The following is a 17,974-nucleotide window of genomic DNA, read 5'->3' as shown; positions in this document are numbered from 1 at the left end:
ACACTTCCCCGTCATCCAGAAATGGGTTTGATTCTCAGCCAAGGGACAGCAGGACTGGTAGAGACTGTCAGGCCACTCAGCTGCCTGCACAGCACTCCCATGCTTGGTGGGGGGGCGGGAGGGATGGCGGGGGCTGACTCTCCATAGGCCAGGCGTGACAGGGAGACTCACCGGAGGTCTTGCACTTTGGAGGGGCAATGTCGGGACAGCTTTCTCTTGTTGGGCCACAAGACTCCAAGAGGACAGCACGGTGACTGATTCCCAGCACTAGAGGCGAGGCCGTTGGCCACATGTAGGTGTAGGGGTGTGTGTGTGTGTGTGTGTGTGTGTGTATGGGTATTTATAGATATTTATAGAACAATGCGAGGGCATACCACAGAGGGGGGCACAAGTTTCACAACAGTCACACCTGGACGTGTCAGCTCACCACTACAACAGACTAAGTCACAGATGAAGGGGGCTGGCTTTGGGGCTGGGGGAGCCACTGCCAAGTCACAGAACAGCCGCCCAGGCAGGCTTGGAAAGGGAGGCCTCCGAGAAGAGAAGGGATCTGTTTAGAGGTCGAAGGGGGGCGTGGGGCTCTCAGGATGGGATGGACTTGCGTGACCTGATCGGCTGGCAGTTGGAGAGAAAGCAGAGAGAAAAGAGGAGAGAGAAAAGGGAGCAGAGAGCTGGTGAGGCCAGTGCAGAGCACAGGTGTGCCACAGCAGCTGTGGGAGGGCCAGGGAGGGGAGGGCGCAGGTGCGGCTGTGGCAAGGTTCCTGGAAAAGAGGGGCTGGAAGGGAAAGGGGAGGAAGATGGAGGGAGGAGCCGGAGCTTCACAGGTAGTGCCTGGGGACTGTGGCGGCCCTCCCCACCCCACACATGCTGGCCTCTTCCATTGCACCCAGGCAGTGTACCCACAGGTCAGACCAACGCTCGGCCCCTTTGGGCTTCCCTCTTCTCTGGTCACCAACCAACTTGTCTTCCAAGTCGTCTTCCAACCTGTCTTCCAACCAACTGGTCTAGGGCCACCTCTCACCTTGGGGAGCCCAACATAACAGCCACCAGGCCTGACAGAAGGAAAATTGCTCGAACAAGGATGATGAAGCTAAATGGGATGGATGGTTGGAGTGATCGCCGGAGCCCCCTCTGGGTGGTCAGGAAGCTGAGGACCCTCTGAAGGGACCCTGGGGGAGGCAGGGTGGGCAGGCAGCCGGATGCCACTGGCTATAAACTTATAAGTCTAAGAGGGGAGCCTCAGCTTGTTGGAGATTGCAGGTCCCATAGGTGAGGCTGGGTCCTTCCTCCCAGGGAAAGGAGACGGAGACCATGGCAAGGGAGGTGGGTGGGCTTGCTGGGCAGAGCTCAGCTGGGCCAGCAGGCACTGGGCTCCCCTCGGCTGAATAGGAGGGCCAATCTCTAGGAGCAACAAGCCAAGGTGCGTGAGCCTGCTGGCTGGTGGTAGTGCTTCAGCGGGGCCCAGGGACCCTGCCTTCAGTCACATGCTAGCAGCTGTGATGGTACCTGGGAGGGAGGGAAGGGGGCTGTGTGCCCCTACCTGACCTGTGAGGTGTGTTTTGGGTTGACCATGTGTATGGGACTCTCGAGGTTTTATCCTAGATCACCACTGTTTTGCCAACAGATAGAGGAGGTGGGACCCTATCACCCCTGCTCTGCAGTGGATTTGGCCCTCAGCACTCCAAGGCATCCAGGCTGGGAGCTGGATGCCCCACCCTGGCAGCATGGCTCAGACAGCACAAAAGGCATGGCGTGCCCAGGATGACATTCCTGGGCCTCTGGCCACCTCAGAGTACAGCCCCACACACAACCCCCTCCAAGCTCTCAGCCCTTACACCATAAACCACGAGCTCCCTGATGGCTCCAGAGACCACCCACATCTGCCAGCTTGGGCACGGAGCCTGTTCCAAGAGCCCCCAGGCTCAGCCATGGGGGCTGGGGAGACTTGGGGCCATAGGGGCCAGCCCTGGTACCTGCGTCTGGCAAGGACGCTCTGCACCTGCAGCCAGGAGTTGTCCACGGGCCCCCATGTGCGTGCTGATGGTGGTTGTGTTGATGTCACCGATGATGCTGAGCACCTCCTTCAGCACGTGGTACATGCGCAGCATCTCATCTCGCCACTGTGCCTGCTCTGCCAACTCCTCCATCAGCGTGTTCTGGTTCCCATGCAAGTACAGGTTGGACAGCAACTCTGATAATATGAGCTCCTTGGTCTGAGAGGGGGCAAAGAGGGAAGGAGGTTGGGACCTGATGCATGTGCTGGCCTGATGCCTGTGCTGGGACAGTGTGCTGGACTTGGAGCCCTGAGTATGGCTTTGCACACGCGGCTTCTACACCGCTTAGACTCAAAGATCTGCCACCCCACCGCCCTTTTCTCACTCAGATAGGGACACTGAGGTCCAGAGGAAAAGTCACCTGTCCAAGGTCACACATCTGGGAGGGGACCCAGGACCTATCATGCCACCAGGACACCTGTCTACTCAGTTTCTTAAAAATGTTTTTTGGAGATAGGATCTCGCTCTGTTGCTGGGCTGGAGTACAGTGAGCAAGATCACCACTCACTGTAGCCTGAACCTCTTGGGCTCAAAGTGATCCTCCAATGTCAGCCTGTCGAATAGCTAAGACTATAGGCATGTGCCATCACTAAGCCTAGCTATTTTTAAAATTTTTGTGTAGAGACCAGGTCTCACTATGTTGCCCAAGCTGGTCTCGAACTCCTGGGCTCAAGCTATCCTCCTACCTTGGCCTCCCAAAGTTCTGGGATTACAGGCATGGACCACTGTCCCTAGTCCCACATTATAGTTCTATGAGACAGCTCTGGTCTGGACTGTGCCTCCCTCCCTGAACCTGGTCCCATAGGGCTGGTCGGCATCTCCCCCAGGCCAACATGGCCACCTGCATCCCCAGTGCCACAGGAGCCCCCTGCCCCTATGAGGTGGTGCATGCACGTTGTTGATCATGACGTGCATGACGGTCTTGGGCATGAAACCAACTATGAGGTCCCACACAGTCTTGTTGACAATGGCCTTGTAGGAGTCCACAAGGTTCTGGGTGGTTTCCATTTGCCGCTTCAGCTGTGGGTCCATGGAGTGGACTTAAGATTGAGTCTAGACCTAGACTGCTGCCGGGCTTTGCAAAACCCAACTGGAGTTGGGTCCTGGGCTGCTCTCTGTGGTTCTGAAGCACCATCTCCCACCAGTGTGGCTGGTCCCCCTTAATCTGCATCTCTGGTGTCTCCTATACAGCCTCTGCCAGAAATTCAAAAGCAGAGAGGGCTTTTATTTTCTATCTTCCAAAATAAATTTCAAAGTATTATTGGCAAACTTGAATAGTGACTTCTGTTTCATAATTTTTCATCGCCTTTTGGTTTCATCTTTAGAAAGTTTTTTAAGTTATGAGAATTTTTCTTTCCCTTAGAAATTGATGCACATAAATCCCCTTGTTTGCCACATTAATGGCAGACCTTACTTTCCCCTCCCCGATTCCTGCAGGGGCTCTCCAAAAATCTAAGCGTTAGGAAAGAGCCCAGCCAATCGCATCCCAGTGGTATCCCCACCCTTCTTCACCTCTCCCAGACTGTAGCCTTGCCCCACCCTCTCAGCCACCAGGGACACTCACAGGGAATCTTGTTAATCTCATTGAAGAACTTCTCCTTCAGTTTGGCAAACATGTCCTCCTGGCTCTCCCCAGCACTCCCACTCTCGGTGGAGTTGTCCACGGGTCCAATGGGCATCGTGACGTGGTGGTGGCAGGAGCCACAATAGGCTCTTGGTTCCTCTTGAAAATGTTCCTCATGGTGGCAGAGGGGACAGATGGGGATGAGAGGGGAAGAGGGCAGGGTGAGCATCCCAGAGGTCGTCTTCCCCTCAGAAAGCCATGCCCAAAGGACCAGGAGAAGCTCTTTATCGATCAAAGATATTTTGCATAATATTAACAACTGTAGTAAACCAATAATAATAGACATCATCCAATTAGTACACAGTCAGCCTGGGTAGCATAGCAAGACCCTATCTTTAGAAATTTTTTTTTTTTTAATTAGGCATGGTGGAGGCTGAAGTGACAGAGGATCACTTGAGTCCAGGAGTTTGAGGTTACATGAACTATGGGTGACTAAGTAAGGTTCTATCTCTTAAAAAAAATAGTAGTACATATATGTGCCAAGCACTATGCAAAGCACTTTCCATGCATTATTCATCTAATCCAAAAAATAACCTAATGGTTTTTATTGTTTCCATTTAACAGATGGGGAAACAGGTTCAGAGAGGTTAGAAAGTTTTTCCAAGGTCACTTAGCTGTAAGTTCTGAAACTGAGGTTTGAACTGGTCTGCCCAACTCCAGAGCTTGTATAGCTAATCACTCTCCTATATCTCATTTAAATCTAACCTCACCACTCTAGGAAGGAGACAAGGTTTTACACTGAGGGCTCCTCTTTCAACCTCTCTCCTTGACTTCCAAGGATTTCTAGATATTACTCTGCCTAGAATCTCTGCCCAGCTCCATGACACTTGAACTCTCCACATCCCTGACTCCAATTCCTCCTCCTGCCCTCCGAGACTCCTCAGCCCTCTGTAGTTTCTTCATGGGCTCCCTCAGTGCCCACTCAGGGTTTGTTTTGACCTCTCCTGTAGGAAGACGGCACCCACATCTCCATCTCTAGCCCTTCCTCCTGGGTCCACTCTGTAGCCCCTACTCCAAGTTCATCTCTAGCCCTGCCCCCACATGCAGCTGCACATTAGCCTTCCTGCATCAAAGATGTGATGTTTATTAATAACATAACACAGACTTACTGTAGAAAATTTGGGGAGAGAGAGAAATCCCCCCATAATTCTACCCTCCAAAGTCAACTAGCATTTGGGGCATTCTATGCTGGTATTTTTTCTGAGTATGTTTTACATGTTGAGGCCATGCTATGCATAGTTTTTTTGAAGATTTTTTACATAAAATTTCATCATAAGCCTTTTCCTTTATTGTTTTGTATTATTAAATAGCTACAGAATATCGTACTACATGGTAACACCATAATTTGTTTAGCCATTCCACTATTAGACATTTAGGCAGTTTTCAACTTTTTGCTAGTAAAACACTGAGCATATATATTGGTCTTCATTTAAGGCAATGTTCTTACGAGCTTCCAAACTCTGCCCCCCCATGATTCTGTCCTCTCCACTGAGCTCTTTTTGCTCCTCGGGGCTATGCACTCATTTCTCAACTGAAAGTCCTATGAGGGAAGATCCTGTGTTGGCAACAGCACCCCTCCTGCCAAGCACACAGTGGGCACTCAGGGTATTTGTTGATTGAGGTCCTCTGAGGCAACATAGCAGCATACACCCACAGGTATTCCAGGATGCAGGAATAAACAGCACAACTCCCTGAAGCATCCGTTTTACTGAATGGCAATTTACAGTATTTTTAAATTAAAACAAGCTGGAAATATAGAGTAGGATGCATACAGCACAAGAATTTAAAGAAAAAATGTGAGACTTTTCTTACTGCATGTTAGGGATGTGTTAACTCTCCTCTGGACTCAGGGTTCTTCTGAAGGAACATTTTAGAAGCTCTTAGGTTCTGTCCCTTCCTTTCAAAACCTGCTGAGATCCCCTCCCCAGCCCTGGAGACTGCTCCAGCCTTAAGTACTTTTGGTGACCTGTACATTGATGCAATGTAGGTTCATTCACCAAGCATTTATTAAACTCTTACTACCTGCCATGTTGAAATAGCCTTGACCCCAAAACTGGTCTTGAAGTGAAAAACCAAGGTCCACTGGACTTCACCTCTGGGGACAAAGAGATGGGTGCAGTTTGGCGGGAACTGCAAGTAGCCACACAAGGGGATAAATATATGTCCAGGGCCTTCCGCCATGTCCATCTCCCCTCACTTCTACAAAACTGTTAAGGGCTCTGTGACCTTTTTTTCAAAAAACAGCTTTATTGAGATGTAATTCATATATAAGTCACCCATTAAAGTATACAGTTCAGTGCATTTTATTGTATTCACAGAATTGTGGAACAATTTGCATAACCTAAGTAGAACATTTTTGCCACCTCAAAAAGAAACCCAGTCCCATTAGCAGTCACTCTTCGTTCCCATCCTCTTCCCAGCTCCAGCAACCACTAATCTACTTTCTGACTCTATAGATTTGTCTATCCTAAACATTTCCTATCAATGGAATTATAAAATATGTGGTCTTTGTGACTGGCTTCTTTCATTTAGTATGATGTTTTCAAGGTTCATCCATGTTGTAGCATGTATCAGTATCTCATTCCCTTTTTATTGCCACATAATATTCCATGGTGTAGGTAGAACACTTTTTTTTTTTTTTTGAGACAGGGTCTCACTCTGTCGCACAGCTGGAGTGCAGTGGTGCAACCATGGCTTACTATAGCCTCCACCTCCAGGGCTCAAGTGATCATCCCACCGCAGCTTCCTGAGTAGCTGGGACTACAGGTGCATGCCATCACACCAGGCTAATTTTTTAATTTTTTGTAGATATGGGGTCTCCCTATATTGCCCAGGCTGGTCTCAAGCTCCTGGCCTCAAGCAATCCTCCCACTTCAGCCTCCGAAATTTTGGCATTACAGGCATGAGCCACCGCACCTTGCCTAGAACACATTTTATATTTATCCGTTCATCAATTTATAAACATTTGGGTTATTTCCACTTTGGGCTATTTTATAACTAAATATGGCTAATAATATCCCACTTGTGGGATATTATGAATAATGCTGCTGTGAACATCCATGTATGTTTTTGCATGGACATACGTTTTCATTTCTCTTGGGTATATACGTAGGTATGGAATTGCTGGGTCATAACTATGTTTGACATTTTAAGGTGCCAGCACCAATTTATGTTCCCACCAGCCATGTATGAGGGTTCCAAGTTTTCCACATCCCAGACAACACTTCTTTTTTTTTTAAATTATACTTTAAGTTTTAGGGTACATGTGCACAACGTGCAGGTTAGTTACATATGTATACATGTGCCATGTTGGTGTGCTGCACCCATTAACTCATCATTTAACAGTAAGTATATCTCCTAATGCTATCCTTCCCCCCTCCCCCCACCCCACAACAGGCCCCAGTGTGTGATGTTCTCCTTCCTGTGTCCATGTGTTCTCATTGTTCAATTCCCACCTATGAGTGAGAACATGTGGTGCTTGGTTTTTTGTCCTTGCAATAGTTTGCTGAGAATGATGGTTTCCAGCTTCATCCATGTCCCTACAAAGAATATGAACTCATCATTTTTTATGGCTGCATAGTATTCCATGGTGTATATGTGCCACATTTTCTTAATCCAGTCTTATCATTGCTGGACATTTGGCTTGGTTCCAAGTCTTTGCTATTGTGAATAGTGCTGCAATAAATATACGTGTGCATGTTTCTTTATAGCAGCATGACTTATAATCCTTTGGGTATATACCCAGTAATGGGATGGCTGGGTCAAATGGTATTTCTAGTTCTAGATCCCTGAGGAATCGCCACACTGACTTCCACAATGGTTGAACTAGTTTACAGTCCCACCAACAGTACAAAAGTGTTCCTATTTCTCCACATCCTCTCCAGCACCTGTTGTTTCCTGACTTTTTAATGATTGACATTCTAACTGGTGTGAGATGGTATCTCATTGTGGTTTTGATTTGCATTTCTCTGATGGCCAGTGATGATGGCATTTTTTCATGTGTCTTTTGGCTGCATAAATGTCTTCTTTTGAGAAGTGTCTGTTCATATCCTTTGCCCACTTTTTGATGGGGTTGTTTGTTTTTCTCTTGTAAATTTGTTTGAGTTCATTGTAGATTCTGTATATGAGCCCTTTGTCAGATGAGTAGGTTGCAAAAATTTTCTCCCATCCTGTAGGTTGCCTGTTCAATCTGATGGTAGTTTGTTTTGCTCTGCAGAAGCTCTTTAGTTTAATTAGATCCCATTTGTCAATTTTGGCTTTTGTTGCCATTGCTTTTGGTGTTTTAGATATGAAGCCCTTGTCCATGCCTATGTCCCGAATGGTATTGCCTAGGCTTTCTTCTAGGGTTTTTATGGTTTTAGGTCTAACATTTAAGTCTTTAATCCATCTTGAATTAATTTTTGTATAAGGTGTAAGGAAGGGATCCAGTTTCAGCTTTCTACATATGGCTAGCCAGTTTTCCCAGCACCATTTATTAAATAGGGAATCGTTTCCCCATTTCTTGTTTTTGTCAGGTTTGTCAAAGATCAGATGGTTGTAGACATGTGGCATTATTTCTGAGGGCTCTGTTCTGTTCCAGTGGTCTATATGTCTGTTTTGGTACCAGTACCATGCTGTTTTGGTTACTGTAGCCTTGTAGTATTGTTTGAAGTCAGGTAGCATGATGCCTCCAGCTTTGCTATCTATGACAAACCCACAGCCAATATCATACTGAATGGGCAAAAACTGGAAGCATTCCCTTTGAAAACTGGCACAAGACAGGGATGCCCTCTCTCACCACTCCTATTCAACATAGGGTTGGAAGTTCTGGCCAGGGCAATCAGGCAGGAGAAGGAAATAAAGGGTATTCAATTCAGAAAAGAGGAAGTCAAATTGTCCCTGTTTGCAGATGACATGATTGTATATCCAGAAAACCCCATTGTCTTAGCCCAAAATCTCCTTAAGCTGATAGGCAACTTCAGCAAAGTCTCAGTATACAAAATCAATGTGCAAAAATCACAAGCATTCTTATACGCTAATAACAGACAGACAGAGAACCAAATCATGAGTGAACTCCCATTCACAATTGCTTCAAAGAGAATAAAATACCTAGGAATCCAACTTACATGGGACATGAAGGACCTCTTCAAGGAGAACTGCAAACCACTGCTCAATGAAATAAAAGAGGATACAAACAAATGGAAGAACATTCCACGCTCACGGGTAGGAAAAATCAATATCATGAAAATGGCCACACTGCCCAAGGTAATTTATAGATTCAATGCCATCCCCATCAAGCTACCAATGACTTTCTTCACAGAATTGGAAAAAACTACTTTAAAGTTCATATGGAACCAAAAAAGAGCCCACATTGCCAAGTCAATCCTAAGCCAAAAGGACATTTGCTATTATGTCTTTTTGTTTACAGTGATCCTGGTGGAGGTGAAGTGGCATTTCATTGTAGTTTTGATTTGCATTTCCCTGATGTCTAATGATGTTGCATATCTTTTCATGTGCTTAAGGGCCATTTGTGTGTCTTCCATAGAGAAATACCTATTCAAATCCTTTGGTCATCTTAAAATATTTTGTCTTTTTATTATTGAGTTGTAAGAATTTGTATATATTCTGCATACCAGTTCCTTGTTGAACATATAATTTGCAAATATTTTCTCCCATTCTAGGGTTATATTTTCATTTTGTGTGTGTGGTGTTTTTTTGTTATTTGTTTTTGAGATGGAGTTTCACTCTTGTTGCCCAGGCTGGAGTGCAATGGCACAATCTCAGTTCACTGCAACCTCTGCTTCCCAGGTTCAAGTGATTCTCCTGCCTCAGCCTCCCAAGTAGCTGGGATTATTATAGGCGCTCACCAACATGCCTGGCTAATTTTTGTATTTTTAGTAGAGACGGGGTTTCACCATGTTGGCCAGCCTGGTCCCAAACTCCTGACCTCAGTTGATCTGGCCTCCTTGGCCTCCCAGAGTGCTGGGATTACAGGCATGAGCCACTGTGCCCGGTCATATTTTCAGCTTTTAATGGTGTCCTTTGAAGCAAAAAAGTTTTCAATTTTGATGATGTCCAATTTAGCTATTTCTTTTGTTGCCATATTTTTGGTGCTATATCCAAGAAACCATCACTAAACCTAAGGGCACTAAGATTTACTCCTTTGTTTTCTTATGGGAGTTGTATAGTTTTCAGTCTCACATTCAAGTCTACAATCCACTTATTTTTTAAGACACGGTCTCACTCTGTCACCCAGGCTGAAGTGCGGTGGCACAATCATGGCTCACTGCAGCCATGGCCTCCTGAGCTCAAGTGATCCTCCAGCCTCAGCCTCCCGAGTAGCTAGACTACAGCTATGTGCCATTACACCTGGCTAATTTTTAATTTTCTTCTAGAAATTAGGTTTCACTATGTTTCTACAATCCACTTTGAGTATGGCATAAGGAAGGCGTTCACATTCATTCGTTTGTATGTGGATATCCATTTGGTGTATAACATTTGTTGAAAAGACTATTCTGTCCTCCATCCAATTGTCTTATTCCCTTGTAAAATAGCAACTGACCACAAATATGAGGGTTTATTTCTGGACTCTCAATTCTATCTGTATGTCTAACCTCATGGCAATACCACACTGGTTTTATTTTTTATTATTTTTTTAATAGCACCTGCCTACTATTGACCATACTGTCTTGATTACTGTAGCTTTGTAGTAAGTTTTGAAATCAGGCAGAATGGGTCTTCCAACTTTGTTTTTTGTTTGTCTGTTTTTGAGCCAAGGTCTCACTCTGTCACCCAGGCTGGAGTACATGGCGTGAACATGGCTCACTGCAGCCTTGACCTCCCGGGCTCAATTGATCCTCCAACCTCAGCCTTCTGAGTAGCTAGGACTACAGCCCCATGCCACCACAACTGGCTAATTTTTGTATTTTTGTAGAGAAGGGGTTTCACCATGCTGCCCAGGCTGGTCTTGAACTCCTGGGCTCATGCAATCCACCCGCCTTGGCCTCCCAAAATGCTGGTACTACAGGCATGAACCACTGCACCAGGCCTTTTCTTCTTTAATCAGGATGTTTTGGCTATTCTGGGTTCCTTGCATTTCCATATGAATTTTAGGACCAGCTTGTTAATTTCTACAAAATAGCTGGAATTTTGATAGGCATTGTGTTGAATCTGTAGATCAGCTCAGGGATCATATCAACAATGTTGAGTTTTCCACTATTTTCCCACTTATTTAGACCTTTAATTTCCTTCAAGATTGTTTTGTAGTTTTCAACTACAAATCTTGCACTTCTTTTGTTCCTAGGTATCTTACTCTTTTTGATGTCATTATAAGTGGAACTGTTTTCTTAATTTCACTTTCAGATTGTTCATTGCTAGTGTATAGAAATATAATAGATTTTTGTATCTCAGTCTTGTACCCGGCCACATTGCTGAACTCATTGGTTCTTTTTTTTTTTTTTTTTTTTTTTCAGACAGAGTCTCACTCTATCGCCCAGGCTGGAGAACAGTGGTGCAATCTCAGCTCACTGCAACCTCTGCCTCCTGGGCTCTAGCAATTCTCATGCCTCAGCCTCTCTAGTAGCTGGGATTATAGGCATGTGCCACCATGCAGGGCTAATTTTTGTATTTTTAGTAGAGATGGGGTTCCACCATATTGGCCAGGCTGGTCTTGAACTCCTGACCTCAGGTGATCCGCCTGCCTCCACCTCCCGAAGTGCTGGGATTATAGGTATGAGCCACTGCGTTCAGCCTGAAATCATTTGTTCTAATAATTTGTGTGTGTGTGCGTGTGTGTGTGTTGGTGGATTCCTTAGGATTTTCTAGATATAGAATCATGCAAATGAAGACAGTTTTCCATTTTCTTTTTCTTCCCTAATTGCCGTGACTAGAACTTCCAGTCCACTGTTGAACAGAAGTGGTGACATTGGGAATTCTTGTCTTTTTCCTGATCTTTGGGGGAAAATCTTTCAATCTTTCTTCACTTAACATAATGTTAGCTGTTAGCTGTGGGCTTTTTGTAGATGCCATTTATCAGGTTGAGCCTAGCTCCTCCATTCTACCCTTGCCCCTGGATTGGCAGTCCTCCTCCCCTTTCTGCAGACAGCTGCCCACAGCCGGTCCACGGTCCCTACAGCACCCCACCCTCTCACTCTCCACTGCAGGGTGGGCAGGAGGCAGCACGGGCTGCGGGAAGAGGCTGAATGTAGTCCCAAGAATGCCAACCACTTGTCATTTGACTCCAAACAAATCCCCTTGTGAAACTTGATTTCTTCAATATACAATTGTGGAAAATAATACCTACTTTTCAGAACTGCTGTGAAAAATTTAAAAATAAATTTGGTTGTGTCTGGCACATAGAGGGCATTCAATAAATGTGGGTTGGATGTGAATCTGAGAAGTGTTCATTGAACCTTATCTGAGGCACCTGGAAGTGGCCCTGGCACTGTAGAGGGACCCAAGGTTCATGGTGGATGCGGGCTTTCTCTCCAAGACTGACCATCCAGAAATGGTCCTGTAGCAAAGTAAAGCTGCTTGGAGTGAAATAAACCAGCCAGGAATGAAGATGTTTAATGCTCCAGAGGTTCAGGGAACCTGCAGGCCAGGAATGAAGGGGGAGAACTGCATTTCAGGAGTGTTGGAGTCCAAGAAAAGGAGATTAGACTTCCCTCTATATCTAGCAGGAACCACTGAAGGGTGCTGAGCAGTTATAAGTGGGGTTTGTGAAGTTAGCTCCATGGGGAGTGGAGCAGGGAGGCTGGTTCCACAGACCAGAAATGGTAAAGACCTGCACTAGGGTGGGAAGGTAAGGAATGGAGTAGAGAGAACAGATGTGAGAGACACATTCATTCATTCATTCATTCATTCACTCACTCAAGTATTTACTGAGCTCATATCCTGCTTCCCTCATGGAATTTACCATGCACTTCACATAAGTGCATATGAAATTGTAATTATGAGAAGTGCAAGAAAGGAGAGCCATCTGGTGGTGGTGAGCATTTATAAAGGGGCATACCTGAACTAATCTGGGAAAGCAAAAGTGCTTTCTTGAAAAATTGATGATTGAACTGAGACCCAAAGGGTGGGTATTTATCCAGGTAAAGAGGAGATGAAAGGGCAGCCTAGGCAGAGAGCACAGCCTATGCAAAGGCCCAGAGGTGGGATGCAGTGTGGTGAGTCCAAAGCCTGAGGGAAGGCCAGGGCAGCTGGAGTGGATGGAGCATGGTTCAGGGTGAGGCTGGCAGGCTGGGCAGGGCAGGATCAGGGGCATCATAGGCTGCGTCAAGGAGTTTTGTCCTTCGCAAAGAGGAATGAGAAGCTGTGGGAGGCCTTTTAGGGTGGGGGCAGGGGTAACATGTACAAATGCATATTTTGAAAGTTTCACTTTGGCTGTCATAAGTAAAAAGACTAGGATGGAGCATAACTCCAGAGGAAAGGGGGGAAAGAGTTGAAAACAGCCAATAACAAATGTCATCCCCGAGCTCTTATGAAAGACAGACAGTGTTCCCGGGGAACCTGCCAGAGGAAGATGACTTAGAGCTGCAGAGAGGGAATGTGGGGAGTCCATGAAGCAGCAGCAGCAGATTCGAGGCTTTTCCAGACTCCAAAAAAACCAGGAGGCTATAGCTGCCCAGACAGCAAGGGAATAAAAGATGCCTGAGAAGGAGGCTCTCGGTCAAAGGCAGGCATGGGCAGTGGGCCCAGAGAGTGGATGGGGTGGATTCAGGGCCCACCTCTCAGTTATGCACCCAGTACATGGCACCAGGTGCTGAGACCAGAAGCCTTGGGGTCATCCTTCCCATCCATGTGGGGTCACCCCCCACATCCCAGGTGTCTGCAAACTCATCAACAACCCACAGTGCCTTCCAAATCTGGCCGCTTTCCACCCTCCACCTGGAGTACCACAGTAGCCTCCAATCTGGAAGCTTCCACTCCCCTCCACTCAGCCTGATCTCCACACTGCAGCCAGACTGATCTATTTAAAACCCTCCTGTGGCATCTTGTCACATTTAGAATAAGATCCCTGCCTGGCCTGGCCCCTGGCTGGCTCCCACAGGCATCTCCTGTCCCTGCTCTCAGTCACTCAGTTCCTGCCATGCTGGCCTCTTGCTACCAGCCACAAACCCACCAAACAGACCCCCAGCCCACAGCCTCGGCACTTACTCTCCCTCAGCCTAGAATGCTCTTCCTGGAGAAATCTCCCTGACCTTCCCGGGCCACCATCAGCCCCTCTAGTCTTCTTTTCCCACCATGGTCTGTGGTGCCTACAACTTGTTCACAATTCCCTGCACTCCCTTGGCATTTTTGTGGTATTCACCTGGCAAAGCGCCAGCCCTGGAGAAATCCCACTGACAGCTTTCTCCTTCTCCATGGCTACCCCTGACTGCTGAGCCCCCTGGTGAGAGTCTCCCCACAGTACGAGGGCAGCCCGTGCCCCATCAGTCCCCAGGATCATCCAGGCCCTCTGCACTGCACAGAAACTGCAGGAAACGCCTCCCCACCAGCTTTGCCTCCTCCTCCAGTCTCCGCAGGCCTGTGGCTCCCTCACACCCCTCCTGTCTCTTTCCTGTTGTTTTAAAGAAAAATAAAGGTGAGAAATCTCTCAAAATGTCCCAGCCTCGGGTCAAACCACAGACCTTTCCTCCTGACCCCTTCTCAGTTGAGGGCTTTTCCTCTGGTTAAGCCAGTTCCCGCTCCTGCACAGGATCCCTCCTGACTTCTCAGGAAGTCTTTGCCATCCCTGCCCTTTCTTGTGCCTAACATTTCCCCCTTCCCTCGGCTGAGGCTGGACCAGTCCAGTTTATCACATCACCCACCAAAAATGAGCTCCACCTGCTGCCTTGTTCTCCCTTTCCCTTTGTGACCACACACACACACACACACTTGCGCACACACATACACACATGCACACACATACACACACGTGCACACACACACACATACACGCAACACATGGTCCCCATTTCATCACGTCCGCCTCACTCATCAGCCCCTCCGTTGTGGCTTCTGCCCCATCCCTCTGCTGAAGTAGTTCTTTGTAAAGTCATGGATGATGAACACAAGGTCACTAAACCCAGGCCACATTTTCATTTTCCTTGAGCTGGACCCCTGAGCTGTGGTCACCAGCTGGCCGCTGCCTGCTTTCATCATAACTGTGACTACTCCTCCTTCGGTTGCCTCAGGCTTGCCCTTGGGGTCCTTCCCTTCTCAGCCATGGTGTCTCCCTGAGTGGTTCCTTCCACACCCTGGCATCAGTGCCATCCTCTTCGGTCAGATTCAAGCCACTTCTGAGCTCCAGGCCCACAGGTCAACTGGCCCCCGACATAGCCGCCTGATCTGGGTCTCCTCTTGCTCACCTCCAGTCAGTTCCGTATTTGCCACCAAGGCAATCTTCATAAAATGCAAAGCCGGTCATGCCGCCGTAATGAAAAGCCATCCCAGGGAGACAGGCCAAAAGCCCTAGCGTCGCCTACAGCCCCTCATGCTCTCCATCCAGCAGCACCTCGGCTTTCCCTCCCTGGGTTGCTAACACCAGCCCATACTCCTTCTTTTGTTTCCCCTAATACACTGTATTACCCTCCTCGGGGCCTTTGCACATGCTGTGCCCCCTTCATGGAGCTAAAGCCTATGATACAGTTTGCATCTGTGTCCCTGCCCAAATCTCGTGTCAAATGGTAATCCCTGATGTTGGAGGTGAGGCCTCGTGGGAGGTGATTGGATCACAGGGTCAGATCTAGTGATAGTGAGTTCTCATGAGACTGGTCATTTAAAAGTGTGTAGCACCCTCCAACCCCCACTCCCCTGCCTCTTCCTCCTGCTCTGGCCATGTGAAGTGCTGGCTCCCTCTTCACCTTCCGCCATGATTGTAAGTTTCCTGAGGCCTCTCCAGAAGCCGAGCAGATGCCAGCATCATGCTTCCTGTACAGCCTGTGGAACTTCGAACCAACCAAACCTCCTTTCTTCATAAATTACCCAGTCTTAGGTGTTTCTTTATAGCAGTGCAAGATCAGACTAATACAGTCTACACATCTTTCTCAGCTCAAACAGCACTTCCAAGTGCGCCTTCCTCCACACACCCATGGCTCCCTCCTCCCCTACCCCGCATCAAGGCCCCAACCACCTACTTTCCCGGCTCTCCATTCTCATCCCCATGGTACTCATGCAGCTTGTGACTGTATAAGCAGCCACCTCATTTGTCTTGCTCACTGCTGCTGCTCTAGTGCAGGTGTTGGCCAACAGCAGTCCAGGGGCTAAATCCAGTCCCCCACCTAATTTTTGTAAGTAAAATTTTGTTGGGACGCTCACTTGTTTACACATTTGTTGTTGTTGTTGTTGAGACGGAGTCTCGCTGTCTGCCAGGCTGGAGTACAGTGGCATGATCTTGGCTCACTGCAACCTCTGTCTCCCGGGTTCAAGCGATTCTCCTGCCTCGGTCTCCCAAGTAGCTGGGATTACAGTTGCCCACCACCACGCCCAGCTAATTTGCTGTAGTTTTGTACAGAAGGGGTTTCACCATGTTGGCCAGGCTGGTCTCGAACTCCTGACCTCAGGTAATCTGCCCACATTCAATAAATATGTGGGTCTGTAAATGATCAAGCAGGAAAGACTTGAGATTGGGTCACATTATGTCATTTCACAGAAGACACTGAATTCTGTGGGGAAGTGGCCTTCCTAGGGTTCCCCCGTGCAGTACAGGCTGGCTCTGGGCCCGGGGCTCTTTCCACAAACCATGTTAAGACTCAGTCGTCATCAGGCTGTATCCAGGGGCACCCACTCAAGCATAGATTGGGAAGGAACCAAGGCCTGGTGTGAGAGTGTGTGTGTGTGTGTGTGTGTGTGTGTGTGTACAGTGAGACCCCAAAGCTGGCATGGGAGGTAGGGGAATTGCGCACAGCTTTGGGAACTGCCCACCCTTCCTCTCCTCTTGCAGCAGGCCTAGGACTATAGAGAGTCAGACATACCCCCTTATGAACCATTTCACCTCATGTGGTTTCTTTCACCTCTCTGAGTGTCAGACTTCTAAACTATTGGAATGCAGCTTTTATTCCTAAACCCTCGAGTTGAGGCTGGGATTAAATGAGACGTTGCATGGGTGGAGACCACATGTCCTTCCCACAGCCCACGTCTACCCAGCATGTAGAGAACCACTGCTTATTTTTCCCAGGCTGCCCTTGGGTTGCATTTCCATTTTCCCTGGGAGACATGCCAGTAGCTGAGAGACCAAGATTCCCTCGGCTGTCTCTCCTTCTGATGTGACCCCCTATCACCTGGCTCTGCTGTCCCTTCTAGAGTCAGAGAAAAAAAAATGTAGAAAGAAGGAAAACAGCAGGAGCCCTTTCATACCCCACATGCCACCCCCAAGACTCCTGGAGGCCCGGAGAAGTGAAGCCAGTTGTCCAGGGTCGCACAGGCATTTGGTGGAGGAAGAATCTAAATCCCTGGACCCCCAGTCCAGTGCTTCCTTCCACAGCCCAGCAGCCTCCTCCGCCTCCAGGACTATTTCCCCCACTCTAGGAGGCAGGGCTCCCATGGCTGTGGAGGAATGGCGGTGAGAACGGTGTGAGGGAGAGCCAAATTATCGGGAACTCACAGCTGCCTCGCCTCCCGCATGGCTGGGAGCTGCAGTCCCTGGGAGAGCAGCCAGCTGGAAGACTCAAGGACGATAAATGGATCTGGGTGCCAGGGCTCCCAGGACAGAGTGAACTCCTCTGTCTGGTCAGAATCACCCGAGCAGGAAAGCATGAAATGGCACCATTAGGTGAAGGCTGCAGCTGTCCGGGGAGGGAGGCTGGGGGTGTGGAGAGATGCCTGCTCCCAGCCTGCTGGGCCACAGGTCAAGGTCTGAAGAGGAAGGGGCCTGGGAGGCCCCAACAAGGGAGAAGACACACAAGGGAAGGGACTGAGGAAGGGTCTCTCAGGCTTGGCCTGCATCAAGCCCCCCTGGGGAGTTTGTTAAAATGTAGACCCTCTGCCATCGCACCTGTCTCCCAGAGCCTAACTCAGAAAACTCAGTGGACTGGAATGTGCCCAGGGATCTGCATGGTAACAAGCACCCCCATTTCCTCTCATGCAGGTGATCTGGGCACCACACTTTGAAAAAATGAGGTTCTAAGTAATTCAGAAATTCTTGCCAGAGAGGTCAAAGTCCAAGCCCAGTTGCTGGAAGTAAAATAAGCCTCAGAGGCACTGCGGACCTGGAGGGCATCAAGGCAGGGCAGGCAGGAGGACATTGGTGGCAACAACAGGTTCAATCACCATAACTCTGTTTGGTGAGCACACAGATGTTCTCATCTAACCCACCTGGGAGGAGGGCACAATT

General features: G+C 48.1%; 1 pseudogene, besides 1 other annotated feature; it reads right to left on the bottom strand.

The window, feature by feature from the left end:
- On the bottom strand, positions 5-619 carry DNM1P31 (dynamin 1 pseudogene 31; annotated as a pseudogene).
- Positions 260-759: an enhancer, noted in NCBI's record as "H3K4me1 hESC enhancer chr15:32679479-32679978 (GRCh37/hg19 assembly coordinates)". NCBI's record gives its function as "activates a minimal SCP1, AML or CMV promoter by ChIP-STARR-seq in primed H9 embryonic stem cells {active_cell/tissue: H9 hESC(primed)}" and the evidence as "EXISTENCE:reporter gene assay evidence [ECO:0000049][PMID:30033119]".

This window comes from Homo sapiens, chromosome 15, assembly GCF_000001405.40.
Source record: "Homo sapiens chromosome 15, GRCh38.p14 Primary Assembly".
Taxonomy (NCBI): domain Eukaryota; kingdom Metazoa; phylum Chordata; class Mammalia; order Primates; family Hominidae; genus Homo; species Homo sapiens.
The sequence above is the reverse complement of the archived record's forward strand: the minus strand, read 5'-3'. Positions and strand labels throughout refer to the sequence as shown.